Source organism: Homo sapiens, chromosome 5 (genome assembly GCF_000001405.40).
Source record: "Homo sapiens chromosome 5, GRCh38.p14 Primary Assembly".
Classification (NCBI taxonomy): domain Eukaryota; kingdom Metazoa; phylum Chordata; class Mammalia; order Primates; family Hominidae; genus Homo; species Homo sapiens.
This window is the reverse complement of record NC_000005.10, coordinates 72,980,290-73,008,222: the sequence shown is the minus strand read 5'-3', so window position 1 is coordinate 73,008,222 and position 27,933 is coordinate 72,980,290. Positions and strand designations below refer to the sequence as shown.

The 27,933-nt window shown below is 38.7% G+C and overlaps 1 protein-coding gene and 1 pseudogene across 9 annotated transcripts in view; both read right to left on the bottom strand.

Moving 5' to 3' along the window:
• Positions 1-27,933, bottom strand: part of FCHO2 (FCH and mu domain containing endocytic adaptor 2) — a 134,482-nt gene that overhangs the window by 82,300 nt on the left and 24,249 nt on the right. For 8 of the 9 annotated variants that reach the window (NM_138782.3, NM_001146032.2, XM_017009017.3 and 5 more), the window contains exons 3-6: positions 18,722-18,796; positions 17,604-17,745; positions 17,359-17,511; positions 1,674-1,778 (exon numbers count right to left, since the gene is read on the bottom strand). In NM_138782.3, coding sequence (NP_620137.2) covers positions 1,674-1,778; positions 17,359-17,511; positions 17,604-17,745; positions 18,722-18,796 — 475 coding nt within the window. The remainder of the gene's footprint in view (positions 1-1,673; positions 1,779-17,358; positions 17,512-17,603; positions 17,746-18,721; positions 18,797-27,933) is intronic. The other variant, XM_017009016.3, reaches the window with a different exon arrangement.
• On the bottom strand, positions 10,381-11,502 carry CTDNEP1P2 (CTDNEP1 pseudogene 2; annotated as a pseudogene).

Here is a 27,933-nt window from a genome sequence, read left to right as displayed (position 1 = left end):
CATGTCACATCCCTGCCTAAAACCCTTAGGCGGCTTCTAGTTGCTCTTAGAAGAAAACCTAAATTCTTTTGCCATTAAAAGTAACGGTAAAAACTACAATTACTTTTGCACCAACCTAATGTAACCTAGTCCTTGTGTATCAATTCAACTTCATTTCTCACTACCATTTTCCCTTACTCAGGTTTAGTAAGCATTTTTTACTTTCCAGAATGTAAGTTCTTTTATACCCTCTGGGCCTTCATACTCATGATCCCCAAAGCCTGTAACGCTCTTGCCCTATTAATTTCTTACTCACTCTTCAAGTTCCAGTTTTAAACATCACTTATCTTAAAAGGCCTTTCCTGACTCCCTAATCCAAATTAAGTCACTGCTATTATTCTATCTCATGGAAGCCTATTATTTTCCTTTGCAATACTTATAATAATTTATAACTTTATATTTAAGCATGTATTTAATGTCTGCCTCCCTCCTCTATACTGTAAACACCATCTCAAGCACGGAGATATTTGTCTTATTTACAGATGTACTGTATACACACCAGCACCTAACAGAGTCTATGCCATTGTAGGTAAAGATGGATATGCACATACATGCACACAAGTATGCAAGACTTCGCTTTCTAAGATATGAGCTGTTCACTACTTCAAATGGGAAGACATAATGAAGACATAGAGTCCAAAAATTCAGATTCACAAAGTCCTTCTTTCATATTAACTGAGTGCCTACTATGATCTGGGAACTATTCTAAAAGCTGAGGATATAGCAGTAAACAAAACAAATCCATCCTTGCTCTCATAAACTTAAATTTTAGTGGAGAAAAACAGACAAAAAATATAGGTAAAAGAACTCATGTGCTTCACTGTTTCTGGCCCCTTAGACATAACTAAGAACATTCCAAAAAGGAGTTCATCCACCAGCCTCAGGACTACAGTGAAGACGATGTAAAACAGCTGCAGCCAACCCATAATGAACACGCAGCATGAGAAAGTAATAAACCCTTGATATTGTAAGCCACTGAGATTTCTGGGGCCTTGTGTCACCACAGCATACTTACTCTGACCTGAATGATACAGGAATAAAATTCTTGGTATGTAAGATCACGATAGGTGCTAAGCAGGAAAATAAAACAAGGAAAAGGACAAGAAGCAGGGGCAGCGGAGAGTGGAAATGTTAGGTATGATTCCTAAAAGGCAGCCACCTTAAACGAGGCCTTTAATTAAGGTTCTAAGAACACTACACCAAATATAATTTATCCCAAGCTAATGGATGGCAGACATTTGTGTCTGTCTTCCCTCACTAATATGTAAGTTCTTTGAGACCAGGGATTTTTTGGGTTGTATTGACTGCCGTAGCCTCACTACTAAGTCACTTCCAGTTTTCTTATTAATGCTTCTTAAGCACTGTCTTCATCATGTACCAATGCCCTCAGTTTCCCCAATTACCTTTAAACAGGCTCTTCTGATCTACCTGTATAATTCCTTATGACATTATAATTATTGCATCTTGGTCCTCAATCTCCAAAACGCGACATGTATTTTTAAAACAGCATCATTAACAAATTGAGATTGTGCATTTTAAAACTTCCAACACTAAAAAATTATATGAGAGAAAAATTAATCAATATACACAAATATAAATGCCCTGTTTTCAATCTGAAGCCTTAAAATACCAACCTGAGCTGTTTCTGTCATTTTCTGTTCGAAATCAGCTTTTGCTAATGCATATTTTTCCACATAGAGTTTATAGGTATCTGTAGCTTTCTTAGATTTAACAGCTGCCTGTAATAAAATAAAATAAAAAACTTTTAACTGTGCATTGACCTTTTTTCTTTCCTAATGTAAGTTAATATGAATAACAAATTAAAATACATTTTAAGAGTTCAATATGACATATAACTAACTTTGATACTTGTTGTGAGGCCCTCTTTAGTCTTTTTTTATTGTTGTTGTTACAGTCAGCCAAGAAGTCAGGAAGTAAACACTGATTCTCTTTTCTGTTTGATGGAATGTGCTTTGAAAAGTTAAAATACTCTCATTTTAAATCCCAGACTAAGATTGCATAATTACATTATAATGCTACAGTGTTACTAAGATATGTTAACACACTGTTGGAGAGAAACTTCCAGACAATATACAAAAATGTCACAATACCACCAGAACGTGCTTGACACTCCTTTTCGCAGCTGTGAATTTTCCTCCACCACAGCATACATATATTTCATTCAATGTCTGATTAAACCTATCTATAAACTATAAACCTATCTCGAAAGTTGTGAAGGCTGGTTTCCTTGATGTTTCTCAGCTTCCATTATGCTCCAGCAAATACAGAAACTTGTTTTCAATCTTTGCCTATTTTTTCAAGACTTAAAAAACGAAACTGTTACCATAATAGTATAGTTCTGGTTTTATAAGTTACTTATTTAATTAAAAAAACATATTAAGCAGTACTGTACAACCTATACATAAACAGAAATTGCAATAAAGTAACACAGCCACAGAAGTTAAGGTAAATTATAAGAAGATAGGCATTTGAGAAAGGAAAAGATTATGTGTAGTTTGTAGGTTGAAGCAGATACACAGCTATCAAGAAGCTTGATATTCTCAAAGGCCTGATCAACTTGGATACAGGAAGATGGAGTGATGTGGTTGGACTAAAAAAGAGTTTAAAGGAGATCAAAGAAAGACAAGCTATAGGATTTCAAGATATAAAAATCCCCATTTTCTTGACGAGGTAACAGATGGGTCTGGTATGAGTGAGAAACAGTAGGGTAGGTTGGGAGCTTAAGGAGAACAAAAAAAGTTTCAAACCATAATTGTGGAGGATGCAAGAGCTCATGACTAGATGAATAAAAGTGTTGCTAAGTGCCACTGAAGTCCAAGGAAAGCTGTAAAATACTTAATTTGTTTAAAGCCGATCAGTACCAATATGTAATTATCTTTAGCCATGATCAGGAATCTAAAAACAAAAAACTACAAAGAGAAAACTGGGTTTACCCTGAGGTTTGGGTTTGGTAAGAGGTACATATAGTCCTACTCCCTAAACAAGCAACTTTGTACTCTCTCTAAAATGTAATTGTTTATACTATATTAAGTATATATGTTATGTACTTTCCTGCCTTCTTAAAGAATATAGGATGCCACTTTACCATGAAACATAAACAAAGCTGATTTTGGAGCCAGAAGAAATTCAACTGAAATTCTGGCTCTACCGTTTACACTACTGCCCCTTTATCCATGGGGAATACATTCTAAGATCCCAGTAGATGTCTGAAGCCATGGATGGTACAGACTCTGTATTATATACTATGTTTTTTCCTATACATACATAACTATGATAAAGTTTAATTTATAAATTAGGCACAGTAAGAGATTAACAACTAATAAAATATAACAATTATAACAACATACTGTAATAACATCATATGTGAATACGGTCTCTCTCTCTCTAAATATTCTACTGTACTGGACAGTAGGTAACTGAAACCAAGGAAAGTGAAATCTCAGCACTGCACTACCCATCTGACCTTGTCTTAGAAATTTATACAGTTCTCTCATTACTAAAAAGGGAACAATATCACCTTTTTTTTAAAAAAAGCTGTAGTAGTAATGTAGTTATACAAAATGCTTGGAATAGGGTCTGGCATACAGTTAAATTTAAAAATAAATAGTGCCTGCTTTTATTATGGTTTCTAACAAGAAATATCATCAAGAAAACACATCATGATATTTTGCTGTAATATAAAGATATATCCGAGTTACTGAGTTGTATTGAGCTGCCTATCCCTAGCGAAAGTGACTAAAACCCGTAACAATTTTCTAGTTTGCTCCTATAGATTTTTTTTGTTTTACTCTTCTCCCAGTTCCACACAGCTGACATTATTTTATACCAGTTACTGGAATCCTCTAATATCCTGCCCCTGTTCAAATACGTAACAGCTAAATGAAATGGATAGTTTACCAAGTACCTTCGCAAGAAACCCAGATAACCAAGTTTGCTAGAATTTATTTTAAAAACAATTATAATGGCATGCTTAATCCGGGTTTCCTTTTGGATTTTTTTAATGCAAATAAATTTTAGTTTGTTCTTCTAATACCTGTATTTTCAGTGAGTATAAGAGCAATCAAACGACCTACAGTCCTTCAGAGTGAATTTTTTTTTTTTTTTTTTTTTTTTTTGAGATGGAGTCTCACTCTGTGGCCCAGGCTGGAGTGCAATGGTGCAATCTTGGCTCACTGCAACCTCCGCCTCCCGGATTCAAGCGCTTCTCCTGCCTCGGTCTCCCAAGTAGCTGGAATTACAGGTGCAAGCCACCACGCCCAGCTAATTTTTGTATTTTTAGTAGAGATGGGGTCTCACTCACCATGTTGGCCAAGCTGATCTCGAACTCCTGAACTCAAATGATCCACACGCCTAGGCCTCCCAAAGTGCTGGGATTACAGGCATGAGCCACCACACTGGGCCTTCAGAGTGATTTTTAATGACACAGCCTAGCATAATGATGTAACCCTACTGAAAGCCCCTTCTTTGCTTGTTCCTAATACCTCATCCTGATACCTACTTTTTTCTTTTTCTCTGCTGCTCACTAAATTATTGCTTAATAATTTATATGCCAGCTATTGATAAAGACAAGTTGTGATCATTCCTAATACAGATATTTACAAGTCAAAAGGAGACCCATAAAACTGGAAAATTCCAAAAATACCTAATTATAATGACTGTGCATACACTTTTACAAGTAATTTACTGGGCGGGCATGGTGGCACATGCCTATAATCCCAGCACTTTGGGAGGCCAAGGCAGGAGGAATCACTTGAGGCTAGGAGTTCAAGACCAGACTGGGCAACAAAGTGAGACCCTGTCTCTACAAAAATTTTAAAAAAATAAAATACAATAAAAATTTTTAAAAAATAAGCCAGGTGCAGTGGCTCATGCCTGTAACCCCAGCTCTTAGGGAGGCAGAGGCAGAGAATAGTTTGAGCCCAGGAGTTCGAGACCTGCCTGGGCAACATAGCAAGACCCCATTCTCCAAAAATAAAATAAAATAAAATAAATTATCCAGGCACAGTGACACACACCTGTGGTCCCAGCTACTCAAGAAGCTGAGGTGGAATCACTTGAGCCCCAGAGTTCAAGGCTGCAGTGAGCTATGATAATACCACCACACTCCAGCCCAGACAACAGAGACCCTGACTCAAAAAACAAAAAAACAAATATCATAAAAATAAAACGGGAAAGATTGTGTGAAATAAATTACTTTTTTAAAAATAAATTTCTTTTAATAGCAATTTCTTTTGAGACAAACACCTAGCAGGTTTTCTTTTTATAGACTGTGTACAAAATAAGATACCACACCTTCTCAACTTACCATTCAACCCTCTCTCTAACTTCTTGTTCTGTACTATTTAATATGTCTTGGCTCTCCAAGAAAAAGAAAGCTTCTTGAAGACAGAAACAATAACATGTATTTAGCCTTAAAAACATTCATAGTTCCCAGCGTGGTGATAGGCTAGGAACTAAACATTTATTTACTGTTGCATGCAAATTATCACTTCATGATATAATGGCAAATCAGAAAAATATTTGAATAAATCATTTTAAAAAGTAAGCATCTATTCTAAAGCCTATAGCTAAAATAAACTCAAACTAATTTTATTATATTAATGAAGTGGAAGAATTCAAATAATATTTTGCTATGATTATTTTCCAAGTAAATATATATGCTGTGTTATGGACAATGCAATGATAGCTTCTCACTAACAAGAAATTTATAACCTAATAGAAATAAAGGATGACTACATGGAGGAACATTACTACTTATAAAAGACATGTATTTCTAAAGTATAAACAAAGAAATTATTTTATAACACTATGCATCAAACATTATAGGCCTTTAAGACATGGAGGGAAGATCCTGAATCATTTCATCTTCCTATACTCACGTAGTCTCTAGAATTCTAACTAATTTTGCTACTCAAATCTCTACTGAGTCAAGAGGGATAAAACCATTAAGGCTTTTACACCAGCATATTTTCATAAATTTCTTTTTTTCCTCTCATGATATTCTCACTATAAATCCTGGTCTATACATTCAGCACTTATTTGTTCACTACTTCTGGCTATAAAACTATTATCTTTATCTCAAAGGTTAACGGCTGGATCTAAATCAAAATTTTAAACAAAGAAGTTTTATGAAGCGTACCCTCTGATATCAGGAAATTATAAAATTTTATTTATCTTATTTGAAAGCATGAAGAAAGAAGGTACTCTTTTTAAGTTCTGACTTATATTTTTTCAATCAGCTCTTTTTTTTTTTTTTTGAGACAGGGTATCACTCTGTCACCCAGGCTAGAGTGTAGCCTCAAACTACTGGGCTCAAGTACTTTAGCCTCCCAAGTACCTAGGACCATAGGCACATGCCACTACGCCTGGCTAATTTTTTTTCTTTTTTTGTAGAGATGGGCTCTCACTGTGTTGCCCAGGCTGGTTTTGAACTCCTGGGCTCCTGCCTTGGCCTCCCAAAGTGCTGGGATTACCAGCATAAGCCACCACCATGCCCAGCCTAGCTCTCACTCTTGAAAGGTAAAATTGATATGCCACAGTCAGAATCCTAAGGAAATTACAAATCAACTTTAAGAAGCATCTTTAATACAAGATGATAGGGAGAAAAAAAATGAAAGAAAAAAGAAATAGAGAAGCATCTAGAAAACTGACAAGAGAAGCACTAACTAATAAAGAAATTTCTTTTCATTTCTTTTTTTTTTTTTTTTTTTTTTTGAGACAGGATCTCGCTCTGTCATCTGGGCTGTAGTGCAGTGGTGCAATCATGGCTCACTGCAGCCTCAACCTCCTGGCCTCAAGCAATCCTCCTCCTGCCTCAGCCTCCTGAGTAGTTAGGACTACAGGTATGTGCCACCAGTCTTGCTGTTGTAGGCCTGGGCCGGAATGCAATGGTGCGATCTCACACTGACTAATTTTTTTAAAAACTTTTTGTAGAGATGGGGTCTCCCTACGTTGCCCAGGCTGGTCCCAAACTCCCAGCCTCAAGTTATCCCTCCACCCTGGCCTCCCAAAGCACTGGGATTACAGGCATGAGCCACCATGCCCCACCAGAAACATGTATATTTTCTGAAAGCAAGAAACATCTTTCATAAGAAACAGCTACACAATACTAAATTATTAAGTCAAAACAACTTTCTAAATAACATATTATGCTTAGTTAGGAATGCTATAAATTCTTAAGGTAGAATTATAGAAACTGAATGGCCTCATCATAAAAAAGTGACAATCTTTATAGTCATTATTAAAAGGGAAGTTGGGCCAGGTGTGGTGGCTCATGCCTGTAATCCCACCACTTTGGGAAGCCGAAGCAGGAAGATGGCTTGAGACTAGGAATTTGAGACCAGCCTGTGCAACATGAGACCTTGTGTCTACAATTTTTTTTTTAATTGAGACAGCGTTTCACTCTTGTTGCCCAGACTGGAGTGCAATGCCACAATCTCGGCTCACCACAACCTCTGCCTCCTGGGTTCAAGAGATTCTCCTGCCTCAGCCTCCCGAGTAGCTGGGATTACAGGCATGTACCACCACGCCTGGCTAATTTTGTATTTTTAGCAGAAATGGGGTTTCTCCATGTTGGTCAGGCTGGTCTCAAACTCCCAATCTCAAGTGATCCGCCCGCTTTGGCCTCCTAAAGTGCTGGGATTACAGGCGTGAGCCACTGCCCCCAGCTTTTTTTTTTTTTTTTTTTTTTTAAGACTGAGTTTCACTCTTGTTGCCCAGGCTGGAATGCAGTGGCGTGATCTTTGTTCACTGAAACCTCCACCTCCCCGGTTCAAGAGATTCTCCTGCCTCAGCCTCCTGAGTAGCTGGGATTATAGGCACACACCACCATACTCGGCTAATTTTGTATTTTAGTAGAGACAGGGTTTCACTACGTTGGCCAGGCTGGTCTCAAACTGCTGACATCAGGTAATCCACCTGCCTCGGCCTCTCTAAGTGCTGGGATTACAGGAATGAGCCACCGTGCCTGGCCTGCAAAATTTTTTTTTTTATTGGCTGTGCATGGTGGCACATGCCTGTAGTCCCAGCTACTCTGGAAGCTGAGGTGAAGGATTGCTTAAGTCTGGGAGTTCAAGGTTACAGTGAGCCGTGATTGTGCCAATGCACTCCAGCCTGGAAAACAGAGGGAGAACCTGTCTTGAAAAATTAATTCACTAGTTAATTAATTCACTAATTAATTAAAATAAAAGGGAAGCTGGAGCATTTGTTCTTAAGAGGAAACTGTGCTTTACAAGTAATAGCTACATTTCTTCTCATAAGCAAGAGTGGCTTTAATACATTACCTATGATAATAAAACAAATCTAAGTTTTATTCATTTCCTTAGCATTATAAATTAATATACTACCAAAAACATTTTAAGTGCCTATGACTTTTATAGTACAATCCATGAAGCCAGCATATACATATAAAATGAGTACTTAGTCAATAGTCCACAAACATGAGTACCTACTAAGTGGTGTTTTATAAAAATGAAGGCTTGTGGTTGGGTGTGGTGGCTCACACCTGTGATCTCAGACTTTGGAAGGCTGAGACGGGCATATCACCTGAGGTCAGAAGTTCAAGATCAGGCTGGCCAACAAGGTGAAATCCCATCTCTACTAAAAATACAAAAATTAGCTGGGCGTGGTGACGCATGCCTGTAATCCCAGGTACTTGGGAGGCTGAGGCAAGAGAATGGCTTGAATCCAGGAGGCAGAGATTGCAGTGAGCCAAGATCGTGCCACTGCACTCCAGCCTGGGTAACAGAGCGAGACTCCATCTTAAAAAAAAAAAAAAAAAAAAAAGGCCTGTGAATGAGTGAATGAGATAACCAAATTATGTTATAACACCTATAGTATTTATGTTTTTAAGTCACAAAAAAATTATTCAAAGATCTATGACTTTTAAAAAAAATCTACATTCTTGTTAATAAAAACCTTACGATAGGCCAAAATAACTGACTTGGATTAAAATATATTACAAATCAGAGAACCCACTATCTAATATCACAAGCAGAGATGCCACCTCTGAGGAGACCAATTAGAAAAAAGCACCCCTTCCTCTGAGTAGTCCATCCCACTGAAGTCCATCCCTGTGAAGCACAGGGTGAATTTTAGCCAACTCACAACCCTTGGACACAACTACATGCTCCACTCCTGCTCAATATTTTAATAAAAAAGAAATCATGAGCCGGGCCTGATGATTCACACCTGTGATCCCAGCTATTCGAGAGGCTGAGGCAGTGAGGTGATCGCTTGCACCCAGCAGTTCCAGGCTGCAGTGAGCTATGATCATACCACCACTGCACTCCAGCCTGGGTGACACAGTGAGACCTCATCTCTAGACAAAAAAAAAAAAAATCCTTTAATTGCATCTAAATCATTACATTAAACTTGTTTTGGTTTACATGAAAAGACTCAGAATCATTTATTTATGTGTAATCGCTAGTCATCATATATTTTTTGAGTGGTCACGGCATACTAGGTACTATGGTGAGCCCACTGGGGTTCACAAAAAAGAAGACAACGGTATTTAACCCAGCAGTACTTTAATCCTCTGGATAGTTTTAACTAATTTAGATCATAGACATTTGCATTAATGATATGAAACCCATACCAATTCACTGTTGGGCATGAATGTTATAGTATCTACCAAGAGTAAACTGCTCCTGTGACTTACATTTTTTTTTTCTTTTTTGAGACGGAGTTTCGCTCTGTTGCCCAGACTGGAGTGCAGTGGCTCGATCTCGGCTCACTGCAAGCTCTGCCTCCCAGGTTCACGCCATTCTCCTGCCTCAGCCTCCAGAGTAGCTGGGACTACAGGCGCCCGCCACCACGCCTGGCTAATTTGTTGTATTTTTAGTAGAGATGGGGTTTCACCGTGTTAGCCAGGATGGTCTCGATCTCCTGACCTCGTGATCCACCCACCTCAGCCTCCCAAAGTGCTGGGATTACAGGTGTGAGCCACCGCGCCTGACCACATTTTTTAAAGTAATTATTTTATTTTGAATAAAGTCAGCTCCTGTCCCATTCCCCTTACATTCTCATCACAAGTAATTTCCATCATGTGCTTATTGTTTACTGTCCCCATACATGTCCCTAATACTTTACCTGTATATAAATAGCATTTTTTTTTTCAGTTTTGTACAAGAGTTTAGAAAAAAAAAAATCAAATCACAACAAAGCTGACTTGGCTTCTCTTTGAGCCTCCTGGATCACCATATATCTGTGGCTCTGGCGGGTCCTGCCGCTCCACCACAAACACTGTTTTAGTTCTCCTAGGCCTCTGCCTGTCTCCCAGCCTGAACTCCATTCACACATGGAGTGTGAACACGAAGTTAGAGTGAGGCTGCTTCAGGGTCCCAGGCCCATGCGTCCATCCAGACTCCAAGTGGAGTGTAGGGCTTCCAGGGCAGAGAGGGGTTGGAGGGGCAGACCCTGCCCAGGCAGTCCTCACATTGGACAGGGCATCAAACGGTATCCCAAGGGCTCGCCCTCCCTTTCCCCCAACCCCAACTCAGGTGAAGGGGGAGCAGCTGTCACCAGAACCTATACTGGTGAAGGTTGCGGCTCAGCACGGAACGAACATCAGCGGTGAACCTGAGGGCATCCAGCATCGGGAGCAGGTTGAGAAGGGTTGTGTCACTGGGGTCACTGAACCAGGATTTGATGGTGATGGCCTTGTCTGGATGGCTCCTGTAAACCCCTGGAGAGTTAGCCAGGATCACAATGCTGGAGAGGTCACTGTGGACCAAAGAGAGGTCCTTGATGTAGCTGCCCAACTCCAAAGTGCAGTGCTGTCCGTAGTATCTCGTCTTAAGAATGCTTCTGCTATTGTCCAGTTTATCTGCCACAGCAGAGCCATAGATCTCCATGCTTGCTATAAACACTACCAGCTCCCACCACTCGCTCACGACTTCCAAAAAGAAATCCACATGGGGCCTCTAATGTACAAAGAAACGGACAGGATGTTTGTCTATTACCACCTTGAGGATGAAGTCAGGAGGCGTTCCAGGCCAGACTGTGAGCCTCAGGACCCCATCATGGTGGGAGTGAATAAGTATCTCATCCGGATCCAGCACCATGATCTTCCTCTTCACCTAGCTGATTCCAGGACAAGAAGATAAGGGGATGATATCATATCGAACAGTTTGGTGCTGAATTACCATGCAGATCTGCCACCGCAAAAGGGCGGAGAAGCTCCAGAGCTTGGCGGCGAAGGCCACGAACGTGCGCAGCCCCAGCAGACACTGCGTCCGCATCATCCTGATGACCCTGGCACTGCCTGCTCTGCCGGCCCCGCCGGCCCCGGGGGCCCCCGTGGCACAGCTCCGCCAGCCCCCCGTTGCCGGGAGGGGGAACGGCAGCCCTAAGTGGCAGGAGAGGCTGCAGAGAGGGGTATGGAGCAAGCGGCTCAGAAAGTCACCCCTGGCGAGGTTTTGGAAAGCCCAGCGGAACGGGGAGCTGGCGGACAGGCGTTGGCAGCCTGCGGGGGCCCACATGGGCTGGGAGTGGCACCAACAGCTTCGGGGAAGTTGCGGGCCGAGACAGGTCGGGCTAGGATTGGGTCCTCCGAGACCAGGAGGGAAGGGGAAGGATTAATTGGGGAAGGGGACAGTGGGGGAGGGAGCAAGGATGAAGGGGTAAGGGAGGGGGGTAAGCAGAGAGTCAATAGCTTTTTTCTGTTTTTACAGAGAATTAAAGGTTATATAAAAGGCATCAAATTCTACACATCCTTTTGAAACTTTTTCTTGCTCAATATTATGCTTTTTACATTTACTCACGTTAATACATGTCATTCTTTTTTAACATGAATCCATCACCTAGCTTCAAGACTCAATCTATTCTTTCCCCTTTTCTTTGCAAGAGTAATATTTATTTAAACTACTGTATTGTATCCCATTATATGAAATACATAACAGGATTTTTTTTTTTTTTTTTGAGACAGAGTTTCGTTCTTGTTGCCCAGGCTGGACTGCAGTGGTGCGATCTTGGCTCACTGCAACCTCTAACTCCCGGGTTCAAGTGATTCTCCTGCCTTAGCCTCCCGAGTAGCTGGGATTACAAGCGCCCGCTACCACGCCCGGCTAATTTTTGTCTTTTTAGCAGAGAAGGGGTTTTGCCATGTTGGCCAGGCTAGTCTTGAATTCCTGACCTCAGGTGATCCACCCACCGTGGCCTCCCAAAGTGCTGGGATTACAAGTGTGAGCCACCATGCCTTGCCAACAGGATTTTTTTTTTCAATTTGACAATTGATCTATGATTAGAGGAGCTGCTATGGTTTGAATGCTTGTGAAACTTAATCCCCAATGTGACGGTATTGAGAGGTGGGACCTTTAATAGATGAGTCGGTCATGAAGGCTCTGCCCTCATAAATAGATTAATCTATTAATGTATTAATCGGTTCATGAATCAATGGATTATCATGGAAATAGGACTGACAGCTTTATAAGGAGCAAAGAGAGACCTAAACACACTCAGCCCCCTCATATGAGGTCCTGCACCTTCTGAGAATTCGGCAGACTCCCCACAAGCAAGAAGGCTCTCACTAGATGTGGCCCCTCAACCTCGGACGTCCTTCTCATCCTCCATAATTGTAAAAAATAAATTCCTTTCTTTATAAATTATCCAGTTTCAAGCCAGGCATGGTGGCTCACACCCAGCACTTTGGGAGGCCAAGGCAGGCAGATCGCTTGAGGTCAGGAGTTCAAGACCAGCCTGGCCAACATGGTGAAACCCCATCTCTACTAAAAACACAAAAATTAGCCAGGCGAGGTGGCACATGACTGTAATCCCAACTACTCGGGAGGCTGAGTCACCAGAATTGCTTGAACTCGGGAGGCGGAGGTTGCAGTGAGCTGAGATGCGGCTACTGCACCCTAGCCTGGGTAACAGAGTGAGACTCTGTCTCAAAAAAAAAAAAAATTACCCAGTTTCAGGTATTCTGTCATAAGCAACAGAAAACAAACCACACCAGGAGTCCAAGACATTTATATGTATTATGATTATTTCTTTCAAATTATTTTCAGTTTTCTGTTTACTGACAAAGCATTTCCTTTTTTAACTTTTATTTTAGGTTCAGGGGAACATGTGAAGGTTTCTTATATAGGTAAACTGTGTGTCACGGGGGTGTGGTGCACAGCTTATGCGTCATCCAGGTAATAAGCACAGTAACTGACAGGTATTTTTTCTGATCCTCTCCTTCTTCCCTTCTCCCCACCCTCTCTCCTCCAGTAGGCCCCAGTGTCTGTTGTTCCTCTCTATGTGTTCTCATTGTTTAGTTCCCACTTATAAGTGAGAACATGCAATATTTGGTTTTCTGTTCCTGCATTAGTTTGCTAAGAATAATGGGCTCCAGCTCCACCCATGTTCCCACAAAAGATATAATCTCATTCTTTTTTATGGCTGCATAGTATTCCACAATGAATATGTACCACATTTTCTTTATCAAATGTCACTGATGGGCATTTAGATATTGTGAATAGTGCTGCAATTAATATTCACATGCATGTGTCTTTATGGTACAACGATTTATATTCCTTTGGGGATATATCCAGTAATGGGACTGCTGGGGTGAATGGTAGTTCTGTTTTTAGCTCTTTGAAGAATCGCCACACACTGCTTTCCACAATGGCTGAATTAATTTACACTCCCACCAACAGTGTATAAGCATTCCCTTTTCTCCACAACCTTGCCAGCATCTGTTATTTGACTTTTTAATAATAGTCATTCTGACTAGTGTGAGATGGTATCTCATTGTGGTTTTGATTTGCATTTCTCTGATCATCAGTGATGTTGAGCTTTTTTTCATATGCTTGTTGGCTGCATGTATGTCTTCTTTTGAGAAGTGTCTGTTCATGTCCTTTGCCCACTTTTTAATAGGGTTGTTTTTCTCTTGTAAATTTGTTTAAGTGCCTTATAGATGCTGGATGTCAGACCTTTGTCAGATGCATAGTTTGCAAACATTTTCTCCCATTCTACAGGTTGTCTATTTACTCTTTTGATAGTTTCTTTTGCTGTGCAGAAACCATTACGTTTAATTAGATCCTATTTGTCAATTTTTGTTTTTGTTGCAATTGCTTTTGGTGTCTTTGCCATGAAATCTTTGCCCATTCCTATGTCCAGAATGGTATTGCCTCAGGTGTCTTCCAGAGTTTTTATAGTTTTGGGTTTTACATTTAAGTCTTTAATCCATCTGGAGATGATTTTTGTATATGGTGTAAAAAAGGGGTCCAGTTTCAATTTTCTGCATATGGCTAGCCAGTTATCCCAGAACCATTTATTGAATAGGGAATCCTTTCCCCATTGCTTGTTTTTGTCAGTTGACAGACCATTTCTTTCAAGTGCTCCATTATTATCTTCAGGTTTTCTTCCAAGCACTTGATCTTACCAAAAGGTATCACTAAAAGATTTTCAGAAAATAATCAAAGCCATTACTTCCTCAAATGGTCCTTAAAAGGTCTGTTAACTGAAATATCAAAGCATTGTAGCTGTCCAATCATGCAACGAAGTTTGTACAGGCAATTCAACTACACCATAAAAGCTATCTTACCAACCATGACTATACAATACCATCAATTGAAAATGCATTCTGATTTCATATGAGGAAAAAAAAATACCCATTTTCTTTTTCTCTGGGGTCTAGGTCTGAATTTATTTAACCTGCTTAATACCTATAATGTACTTTCAATATGAGGGCTCTTGAATTTCTTCAATTCTGAAACATTTTGAGCTGTTAACTCTTCAAATATTACTTGTCCTTCCATTTCCTCCATTTTTTCCTTCTGAAATTAGTATTAGATGAATGTTGGTAACGTTTGCTTCTCCTACTATGTTCTGGATAAGGTCCCTCCATACTATCTTCAAAACTCATTCTTTGACTATATCAAGTCTAAAGTTTCTTTTCTCTATTGCTTTTTAAAAAGTTCAATAACTCTATTTTTCATTTCCAAGTTTTCTAATTAGCTGTTTTTTTCTATCTAGTAGATCTTGTTTCATTACGTTTAATTTCTTAATCTTCTTTAATGTAAGTTTATGTTTATTTATTTGAACATCCTCAAGACACATCGTTTTTGTTCATTTTTTATAAATTTAAATTTCATCTGGAGTAAATTCTTATTCCAATTATTGAATTTATTGGTTGTTCTAGTATTAGATTTCTTAGGTGTGTGCTACAATTTTGGTTGTTTGCTCATTCAGAATAGGAGTTTTTTTTTTTTATTTTGCCCTCTTTTCTCTTCTTCTCTCTCGCCCTTCATCAGTACTGCTGGACATTCATAGAATAAAACATAAATGGTACCTCCTAGAATTGTGTTATGCTTTATACTTTATGCTCACCCATCCCCAAGCAGTTTTCAGGTTATCTCCTGCCACCCCTCCAAGGCCCCAATTTCATTTCAGTCTTATGAAAGTAATTTTTAATTACTTCCCTGCAAGAATATTGTAGATATGGCCAAAATAGTCATGAAATGATTCCTTGGCTTGATTTCAAGTCAGGATTGTGTCTCTGTATCTGTGTCCCTAAATCCCCAACTTTCAATAAGGCTTTAGTTCTTGTCAGCAACCCAAGAGCCTTCTTTTCTCCCTATCTATAGTTTCAGGCAATGAGCCAGGCTCTTTGTACCTCATCCTAAGAGGGGAGCTTTTAGTCCCTTTTGCCACGTAAGAGCCAAATCCCACTGCCTACTTTAGGACTTTTGAGTTCAACAGCTTGCATAATCAATCTCTACGTGCCATTTTGGATTTCTGTTCTATTCTGGCCCACAGAGATAAAATATTATTCTTTTTGGACCCTGTTATTTCGTTTTCCCTTTTTATATTTTATTCATAATTGCTATGTCTGAAGCAGAGGGTGTTTTCAAACCATGAATTTACTGTGTCTCATTTTGGCCCCTCCCAATTTTTATTATACAAATCCAATTTTTATTTATTATACAAACACAATATATTGCTCCAAATTCATTTTTTTCATCTGTGACACAGTCCCCAGAAGGTCCTGAGATTATGTGCCTTATTGCTCCAAATTCTAAATCACCTATTTTCATTTTTCCACATTCTCTTCTAGTTTTTTGCCCATGTATAGTCATATATCATATTTCATTGGTTAGTTGTTTAAAATATTTTGGACCTCAGGTATATAGAAATGGATTAATTACATTATCACAAGTCTTGTAACAGCCCCTCTTATTTAATTATATGATATTAATTTCTGAGTTGATTTGGTTATTCAGACTTGTAACAGAAGACTTTCTATCATCATCTGTTGTTAAAAATTAACTCTTATCAAACTTCAATGTAAAACTAGTATTCCGTTTAATATGCTTCATCAAAAATAAAGTATCTGTGCATTTAAACATGTAAAAGTATATAAATACACAGCTGTTTTATAGTCATAATCATACAATTGGTACAATTTGGTTTCCTTTTTTACTGGATATTTCAAACATTTTACAAAGCTTTCAAAATTATCACTCCACATGGCTCATTCTTAAGTGAGATATACCACATCAAATAAGTAAATGGTTAAACTGTTTTGAAAGGAGAAAAAAAAAGCTACTTTCCATTAAAACATAAATGGAAGAAAAGGTTGTGGTTTACCACAATGCTACATAAATGTGCTCAAAGTCAGCAATAAATCACCACAACACACATTTAAAGCTTATGTGCAAGTACCTACCTGTATCTTTCTAAATATACCAAAATCTTGTTTCAAAACAATTTTACCTCATGGTTAAATTTTACACAAAGTAATTACCTCAATTATGTTACTACAAAAATATCCTGAAAATGTGTCACTGACATTTAAAAAATCATTGTTTTTTGGTTGGGTGTAGTGGCTCATGCCTGTAATCCCAGCACTTGGGGAGGCCAAGGTGGGCGGATCACCTGAGGTCAGGAGTTCGAGACCAACCTGACTAACATGGCGAAACCCCATCTCTACTAAAAATACAAAATTAGCCGGATGTGGTGTCATGCGCCTGTAATCCCAGCTATTTGGGAGGCTGAGGCAGGAGAATCACTTCAACCCAGGAGGCAGAGGCTGCAGTGAGCCAAGATCGCGCCACTGCACTCCAGCCTAGGCAACAAGAGCAAAACTCCGTCTCAAATCAATCATTGTTTTTTAGTGCTCGCTAACCTATTTACCACAGATAACATACTTTACAAATCTCCTGTGTTTTACTTGGGTAATCACTAGGACTGTAAGGCACAGTGTCTTCATCTTTAAAATGAGATAATTTTCAGTTTGATCTAAATGTTAAATGCAATTTTGTATGTCAAGGTGCTTTGAAACCACAGATATGTAATTTTTATTATGATTACCTTTTCTATTTCTCTTTGTGTAGCTCCTTCCTTTTTCAAACGCTCCTGTTCTACACACTTGGCATTGTAATTTTCCTTGGATTTCTGGAGGGCCTGAGTTATGCTCTGAATGGTTTGGACAGCTTCCAGAGTTCCTGCAACTTCTTCTTTAGTCTGTTTAGTATGAAATGATCCATCAAAATGACTGAACTATAAAGTATTCAATATCTGACCAATCAATTATTTAACAAGAAAAAAACTGATACCTTTTTATGAGACTTTACTTGTTCTTCTCCATACTTCTGAACTTCCTTTATTAATTCTTGTAATTTTCTAACAAGATCCAAGTGACAATTTGCTAATTTCTCTGTAGATGTTTTGAATACATCCCATACTGGTGCAAATGTTCTAAGAAAATAAAAAATATGGGAATAACTTATTAAAAGTAAAAAAGAAAATTAAGGTTCTAACAAGGAACCAGTGGAAATAATAGTGGTATATATGGCAACTTTATTTAGGCAAAAGATGAAATTAAAATAATGAATAAAATGATTGACAGACTGACCTTGAATTTTTTTTGTCATTGGTTATTTAAAATATTTTTGGACCTCAGGAATATAGAAATGGGTTAATTACATTATCACAAGTCTTAACCCTCTTAATTATATTAATTTCTGAATTGATTTAGTATTTATACTTGTATCAGAAGCCTTTCTATCACTGTCTATTGTTAAAAATTAACTATTATCAAACTTCAATTTAAAACAAGTATTCCATTTAAAATACTTCATCAAAAATAAAGTTTCTGTGAATTTAAACATGCAAAAGCCCAATTTTTAGATAATTATTCTTTCCATAATTGTTATGGCAATGAGCACATCTCATTTTAAATGTATTCTTTTCATTATTTTCATTTTTCAAGGAACACATTTTTAATACAAATTTTTAAAAGGAAGATTTAATGACAGTCTATAAAATCACAGGAGACATTTTTAATGCATCTTAATCATTTCAATAAAGTTTATCTTAAGTGAGTTTTTAAAGATCACTGTTAAACTACAACAGAATTTAAATAGGAACTTACAGACAACTAGAATAAATACATTGCATGTGCATAAGATAACATTTATAATCTCAAACACTATTGAATGACTAGTTTTTAAAAAGGGAAAAAATAAATTTCATTTAGTTTTGACTGCATTGACTGATTCAGCAAGTTCAATTATATTTTCTATCAAGTGAAGAATATATTAATATTTACAGATACTTTTAAATAAGCATATATTTTACTATGCTTTTGAACTGTTATGTCCTCAAAAGGAACCTAGAATCCTTAAGAACTTTGCCTAAATAAACACTGAAAAAGAGGAAGAAATTAACTCACCCAAGTTGTGAATAATTGCTTGCAGATTTTGCTAGTTTTGTCATTGACCTGGAGTATGCCTCCTCTATGGTAGCTCTGTTAAATCAAATATCCACATCATAATACTTCTTATTTAGTGACCAAAAACAGCAAAGTTATCAAAATACAATTAAAAGTGCAAAACAAAAAGATACCTCAAAAATTACATGTTAAAAATAAGTACATATATGTAGTCATGAATTTCCGGCCTATCTTCAAATGTCCTTTCTGGTATAGAACTAAAATAATTTATATCACACACACAAATTTTTTTTTAAAACAGTCTTGCTCTGTCACCCAGGCTGGAGTACAGTGGTATGATCATAGCTCACTGCAGCTTTGACCTCCTAGGCTTAAGCAATCCTCCCACCTCAGCCTCCTGAGTAGCTCACACTACAAGCATGCCCCACAACACCCAGCTAAGTTTTGTATTTTTTTGTAGAGATGGGGCCTTGCTATGTTGCCCAGGCTAATCTGGAATTCCAGGGCTCAAGCAATCCTCCCACCTAGGCCTCCCAAAGTGCTGAGATCATAGGCATGAGCCACCACGCTCAGCCACAGAAAAAATTTTAATGGAATCACAACTCTTTTTATCTTTAGTACCAATGCTTATCTGAACAGGAAATACATGAGTGCTACTTCTTGTATTCTCTCTGTCTCTGTAAGCTGGTTCACTGTGATAAGTGTGTCATTTGTATTTAATAATTCTTTGTTGTACTTAGTTTTATTATTCTTCAACACTGTGATGCACATTTAATAGAACAAGAGATTAATGACAGTCATTTGCACAAAACTAAATATATCATCAAGTCTGAAATCCTGAACTTCATTCATGGCTTAATTTATTTTGTGATCAGATCTAAAATATTAGCAAATATTTCACACTAGAAAACTGTGTTTTATATAACTACTGTTTAGCATATGAGATTTTATTCCGTAAAAAACATCCACAGCCATTAAATATAGAATTCTAAAAGACACAAATTATCCTACAGACATGTAACCTATAAATACAGAATACACATTTTGTATGGCCTTCTTTTTTTGAGACGGAATATGGCTCTGTCACCCAGGCTGGAGTACAGTGGTGCAATCTTGGCTCACTGCAACCTCCGCCTCCCGGATTCAAGCGATTCTCCTGCCTCAGCCTCCCGAGTAGCTGGGACTACAGGCACCCGCCACCACACCCAGCTAATTTTTGTATTTTTAGTAGAGACAGGATTTCACCATATTGGTCAGGCTGGTCTCAAACTCCTGACCTTGTGATCCGCCCCACTCAGCCTCCCAAAGTGCTGGGATTACAGGCATGAGCCACTGCGCCCGGCCTGTTTGGCCTTCTTAACACTACAAAACTTATAGTTTTACCTTTTGCCTGGCTCTTCTCAATGTGTGCTACCCTTAATAGGGGAACATTCTACAACCACCATCATCCCTCCATTTACTTTGATTGGTCCAACCAACTTTCTGCTTCTAATGTCTAAATCCAGATCTTCACACTACTCTTGCACTGACCCACCTGTTCAATATCTAACTGCCCCAAACATAATTAAGATATGTGAACCACCTCAAACTCAGAATATCTAAACTAATCTCCAAACTCTTTCCCAACCAAATTTGCACAAAAACCAGCTCTCTAACAAAAAGGAAATATTAACAGTAACTGCCTCTCGCTGATAGTACTGTGACTCTTTCCTGCTCCTTTAAGTTCTTCTGTCATTTTAAAATACTATTACTACAAGAGTAATACTTTGTTCACCCAAAAAAGTTAATATTAGTATATCAATGTGTGAGTTTAACAGCAAGGTAAAGAAGTTCAATTTCCAGTACAGATTAAACATCCCTAATCAGCCAGGCACGGTGGCTCACGCCTGTAATCCCAGTACTTTGGGAGGCCGAGGCTGGCAGATCACCTGAGGTCAGGAGTTCAAGACCAGCCTGGCTAACATGGTGAAACCCCGTCTGTACTAAAAATACAAAAATTAGCTGAGCATGGTGGTGGGTGCCTGTAATCCCAGCTACTTGGAAGGCTGAGGCAGGAGAATCGCTTGAATCCGGGAGGCGGAGGCTGCAGTGAGCCAAGATCATGCCACCGCACTCCAGCCTGGGCAACAAGAGCGAAACTCTGTCTCAAATAAATAAATAAACAAACAAACATCCCTAATCAAAATATCAGAAATGCTCCAAAATCTATATATTTTTTGAGGACCAACATGATGCCAAAAGCAGAAAATTCCACACCTGACCTCATGACAGGTCATGGTCAAAATTCAGTCAAAACTTTGTTTCATGTAGAAAAATAGTTAAAATAGGCCGGGCACGGTGGCTCACGCCGGTAATCCCAGCACTTTGGGAGGCTGAGGCAGGTGGATCACGAGGTCAGGAGATCGAGACCATCCTGGCTAACACGGTGAAACCCCATCTCTACTAAAAATACAAAAAAATTAGCTGGGCTTGGTGACACACGCCTGTAATCCCAGCTACTCGGGAGGCTGAGGCAGAATGGTGTGAACCCGGGAGGCAGAGGTTGCAGTGAGCCGAGATGGTGCCACTGCACTCCAGCTGGGCGACAGAGTGAGACTCCGTCTCAAAAAAAAAAAAGAAAAAAAAAAGAAAGAAAAAGAAAAATAGTTAAAATATTGTATAAAATTACCTTCAGGCTATGAGTATATGGTGTGTATAAAACATAAACAAATTTCAAGTTTAGACTTGGGTCTCACCTTCAAGATTTCTTGCTATGTATATGCAAATACTCCAAAATCTGAAAAAAATCCTAATTCTAAAAGACTTCTGCTCCCAAGCATTTCAAATAAGGGATACTTAACCTGTAATAGTGAATAAGATTATTGACACAAAAACTTTTCTCACTGAGGAAAATTTAGAAAACATGGTAAGTTGAGGGTGGGGGCAAGGTAACTGAAAAGCATTAGAAAACTTAAGGGGCAGTTAAGAATCAAGATCCAAGAGAAGGGCATCCAGACAAGTCAGTCAGGTATGTCGGGCAGCTTCTTCCTTGGGGGTATCCAGAAGAGGTAGCTGATCAGTTGAGAAGTGAAACAGAGCTTTTCTCAGCCTCACAGGTTAAGGGAGCCAAAAGAAAAAGAGTTCAGGTCCACTAAAGGTAGAAAGCAGAGAAAAATCCCACGCCCTTCAAGTAAAGACTCCAAAAGAAGAATTTCATTAGAGATCTGGTCATTTTAAGAAGTGGAGGAAAGCACACCAAATTTGCAAAAAAGAAAAAAAAAATGCAAATTACAGATCTAGAAAATACAACAACCAAAATTAATATCTCCTTGGATGGGGTTTAGCAGCTGATTAGATATACTATATTGAGATTTATACCATAAAAAGGAGATGGAGAAAAAAAAGGAAAATTTAAAAAATAAAGAGATCTAGTTAATTAAAAGATAGATGAGAATAATTTATCCAACATTGAAGTTCAGAAAGACAAAAAAGAATGAAAAACAGAGAAGAGATGTAAAGGACAAAGCAAGAAAAGTCAGATAAATGAGTAAAGAGAAAGAATGAGTTAGAGAAAATATTTGAAGAAATAATAATGGGGAATTTTCCAAAACTGATAAAAGATATTAACCACAGATCCAAGCAGCCCAACAAACTTTAAGAGGATAAATTGTTTAAAAACAATTACATCTGGTTCTAGTCACATTAGAGTAAAAACCGCTGAAAATTAAAAAGAGAAAGAACAAAATAAATCTTGAAAGCAACCAAACTCTTCCCACCACCAAATGTTACCTTCAAAGAACCAATAACTAGACTGATAGCTAACATCTCAACTATAGATAATGGAACGATCTTCAAAAAAAATTAATTAAAAAAATCTACCAACTGGAATTCCATACCCAGCAAAAATATAAATGAAAGCAAATCCTTAATAAAATAACAGATCTAGGTGATTATCACCAATGGCCACTAACATCATGAAACAGTTATATTTGGATAATATATGCCTCTGGTGGAAGTACACACCACCACCTAAGAAGTATTCTTTCCAAAATACTGAATAGAGGCGGGCGTGGTGGCTCATGTCTGTAATCCCAGCACTTTGGGAGGCCGAGGTGGGTGGATCACCTGAGGTCAGGAGTCCGAGATCAGCCTGGCCAACATGGTGAAACCCTGCCTCTACTAAAAATACAAAAATTAGATGGGCGTGGGGGCATGCATCTGCAATCCCAGCTACTCGGGGAGGCAGAGGAAGGAGAATCACTTGAACCTGGGAGGTGGAGGTTGCAGTGAGTCAAGATCATGCCACTGTACTCCAGCCTGGGTGACAGAGTGAGACTCAGTCCAAAAAAAAAAAAGTACTGAATAGAATTTGATCATGCTGCTAGATTTAAATGACAATTTTTAAGAAATTCAGGGATAAAGGAAGATATTTAATAAACTATGCATATGCAATTAGCATATTCCAGGATATGGGGCCCTATTAGAACAAATACTCTGGTTTCTTCAACAACAAAAGGTAAGGAGGTGGGTGGCTATAGATTAAGAGACTCAAAAGGCATATCAACCAAGTGTAACATATAGAAATTAGGACAGGTGCAACAGCTCATGCCTGTAATCCCGACTCTTTGGGAGGCCGAGGCAGAAGGATCGCTTGAGCTCTGGTGTTTGAGACCAGCCTGGGCAACCTGGTGAACCCTCATCTCTACAAAAAAAAATACAAAAATTAGCTGGGCATGGTGGTGCATCCCTATAGCCCCAGCTACTTGGGAGGCTGGAGTGGGAGGATCATTTGAGACCAGGAGGTCAAGGCTGCAGCCTGGATGACAGTGAGACCCTGTCTCAAAAATAATAATAATAATAAATTTTTGCAACAAACCTTAAAGTGTGGATAAAATTAAGACATTCATAGAAAAACATAACTTTTCAAACTCACAGAACTAAAAAATGTGAATGGTCCTATAATGATTAAAGAAATTAAATATGTAATTTAAAACTTTCCTATAAAGACAGTTTCAAGCCCAGAGGGCTTTACCAGAAAATTCTATTAAGCACATAAGGAAAAAACAATAATCTTTCAAAAATTTTTCCAGAAAATACAACAATAGGATATACTCCCCAATTCATTTTATGAAGCCAACAAACTTTGATACCAAAACCTAACAAGTACACTTAGAGAAAGAAAATGTTCAGGCCAATCTCACTCACAAGTATAGATGTAAAAATTGCATATAAAATAGCAGCAAATTGATCCACTAACACATAAAATGATCAACTACATTCCCACCAAATTGTGTTTAGACCAAGAATGGGAAGTTGATTTAACACACAAATTTCAATAATTCACATAAATGACAAGTTGTGAGGAGAGAAAAAGAAAAATATATCATCCCATTATTCACCAGAGAAATGCAAATTAAGGTCACAATAAGATAGATACTACTATTAGCAAGCTAAAATTAAAAAACTGACGATACCAAGAATTGATGAGAACATAAAGCAACTGGAACTCTCAAATAAGGATGGAAGGTGGTGTAAACTGATACAACCACCTTGGAAAATTCTTTGCTATTAGTCACTCGAGTTGAACACACGTATACCTTATGGCCTCACAATTCTACTCCAGAGTATATACCCAATATAAATGTATATATATATATATGCATACCAGGACATATGTGCAAAACTATTCAAGGCAACATTACTTGGTAATAGAAAAAAAACCGAAAACAGCAAAAGATCTAGAAGAGCCAAAAAAATACTGAAGGAGCAGAACAAAGTTGGAAGACTGATACTACCCAACTTCAAGACTTATTATGAAGCTACAATAAATCAGGTGGGGCACAGTGGCTCATGCTTGTAAAATCCCGGCACTTTGGGATGCAGAGGTGGGCAGATCATTTGAGCACAGGAGTTTGAGACCAGTCTAGGCAACATGGTGAAACCTTGTCTCTCCAAAAAAAAAAAAAAAAAAAAAAGTATTGTCACTTTGAAAGACACTGGGCATGGTGCCACATATGTATAGTCCCAACTATTCAGTAGGCTGAGGCAGAAGAATTGATTGAGCCCAAGACGTGGAGGCTGCACTGCACTCCAGCCTGAGTGACAGAACAAGACACTGTCTCAAAAAAAATAAATAAATAAAAATAAAAAAATAAAGCTAGGGGAGGGATAGCATTAGGAGAAATACCTAATGTAGATATGTAGATGACAGGTTGATGGGTGTAGCAAACCACCACGGCACATGTATACCTATGGAACAAACCTGCACATTCTGCACATGTATCCCGGAACTTAAAAGTATTTTAAAAAGGCCGGGCATGGTGGCTCACACCTGTAATCCCAGCACTTTGGGAGGCTGAGGCTGGCCGATCACCTGAGGTCAAGAGATCGAGACCATCCTGGATAACATGATGAAACCCCGTCTCTACTAAAAATACAAAAATTAGCCGGGTGTGGTGGCGGGTGCCTGTAGTCCCAGCTACTCGGGAGGCTGAGGCAGGAAAATGGCATGAACCCGGGAAGCGGAGCTTGCGGTGAGCAGAGATCGCGCCACTGCACTCCAGCCTCGGCGACAGAGAGATACTCTGTCTGAAAAAAAAAAGGAACAAATGCAATACGATGGAACAAAGATAGTATTTTCAATAAATGGTACTGGAACAACTGGACACCTATATGCAAAAAAAAAAAAAAAAAAAATGAATCCAGACACAGACCTTACACCCTTCACAAAAATTAACTCAAAATGTATTACAGACCTAAATGTAAAACATAAAACTACAAAACCCCTAGAAGATAACATAGGAGAAAACCTAGACAACATTGGGTATGGTGACGACTTTTTAGAACAGTATCTAAACGCATTCCAATATCTAAAGGCACTCCAATACACCAGACCTTGGCTATGGTGATGACTTTTTAGACACAATATCTAAAGGCATTCCAATACCTAAAGGTATTCCAAACCCAAAATCCATAAAATAAATAATGGATATGTTGGACTTTCTTAAAATTAAATACTTTTGTTCTTTGAAAGACAAATTCAAAAGAATGAGAAAACAAATCAGACTGTGAGAAAATATTTGCAAATGACACATCTGATAAAAGACCATTATCCAAAATATATAAAGAACTCTTAAAACCCAATAAGGGGGCAGCTGGCAAGATGGCTGAATAGGAACAGCTCCAGTCTGCAGCTCCCAGTGAGATCAATGCAGAAGGCAGGTGATTTCAGCATTTCTAACTGAGGTACCCGGCTCATCTCACTGGGGCTAGTTAGACAGTGGGTGCAGCCCACAGAGAGCGAGCAGAAGCAGGACGGGGCATCACCCTATCCAGGAAGCACAAGGGGTCAGGAACTCTCTCCCCTAGCCAAGGGAAGGCATGAGGGACTGTGCTGTGAGGAATGGTGCATTCCAGCCCAGATACTACGCTTTTCCCACAGTCTTTGCAACCCGCAGACCAGGAGATTCCCTCGGGTGCCTACACCACCAGGGCCCTGGGTTTCAAGCACAAAGGACCACAACTCCTCACCAGCAAGAGAACAAAACTGGATGGAGAATGAGTTTGACAAACTGACAGAAGTAGGCTTCAGAAGGTGGGTAATAACAAACTCCCCTAAGCTAAAGGAGCATGTTCTAACCAAATGCAAGGAAGCTAAGTACCTTGAAAAAAGGTTAGACGAATTGCTAACTAGAATAACCAGTTTAGAGAAGAACATAGATGACCTGATGGAGATGAAAAACACAGCATGAGAACTTTGTGAAGCATACACAAGTATCAATAGCCAAATCGATCAAGTGGAAGAAAGGATATCATAGACTGAAGATCAACTTAATGAAATAAAGCATGAAGACAAGAATTAGAGAAAAAAGAATGAAAAGGAACAAACAAAGCCTCCAAGAAATATGGGACTATGTGAAACCACGAAACCTACATTTGATTGGTGTACCTGAAAGTGATGGGGAGAATGGAACCAAGTTGGAAAACACTCTTCAGGATATCATCCAGGAGAACTTCCCCAACCTAGCAAGACAGGCCAACATTCAAATTCAGGAAATATAGAGAACACCACAAAGATACTCCTCGAGAAGAGCAACCCCAAGACACGTAATTGTCAGATTCACCAAGGTTGAAATGAAGGAAAAAATGTTAAGGGCAGCCAGAGAGAAAGGTCGGGTTACCCACAAAGGGAAGCCTATCAGACTAACAGTGGATATCTCTGCAGAAACCCTACAAGCCAGAAGACAGTGGGGGCCAATTTTCAACATTCTTAAAGAGAAGACTTTTCAACCCAGAATTTCATGTCTAGCCAAACAAAGCTTCATAAACAAAGGAGAAATAAAATCCTTTACAGACAAGCAAATGCTGAGAGATTTCATCACCACCAGGCCAGTCTTACAAGAGCTCCTGAAGGAAACACTAAACATGGAAAGAAACAACCAACACCAGCAACTGCAAAAACATACCAAATTGTAAAGACCACCGACATTATGAAGAAACTGTACCAACTAATGGGCAAAATAACCAGCTAGCATCATAATGACAGGAGCAAATTCACACATAACAATATTAACCTTAAATGTAAACAGGCTAAATGCCCCAATTAAAAGACAAAGACTCGCAAATTGGATGAAGAGTCAAGACTCACTGGTGTGCTGTATTCAGGACACCCATCTCACATGCAAAGACACACATAAGCACAAAATAAAGGGATGGAGGAATATTTACCAAGCAAATGGAAAGCAAAAAAAAGCAGGGGTTGCAATCCTAGTCTTCGATAAAACAGACTTTAAATCAAGAAAGATCAAAAGAGACAAAGGCCATTACATAACAGTAAAGGTATCAATGCATCAAGATGAGCTAACTATCCTAAATATATATGCACCTAATACAGGAGCACCCAGATTCATAAAGCAAGTTCTTTGAGACCTACAAAAAGAATTAGACTCCCACACAATAATAGTGGGAGACTTTAACACCCCGCTGTCAATATTAGACAGGTAAACAAGAGAGAAAATTAACAAAGATATTCAGGAATTGAACTCAGCTCTGGACCAAGCAGACCTAATAGACATCTACAGAACCCTCCCCGCAAAATCAACAGAATATACATTCTTCTCAGCACCACATCACACTTATTCTAAAACTGACCACATAATTGGAAGTAAAACACTCCTCAGCAAATGCAAAAGAACGGAAATCATAACAAACAGTCTCTCAGACCACAGTGCAAC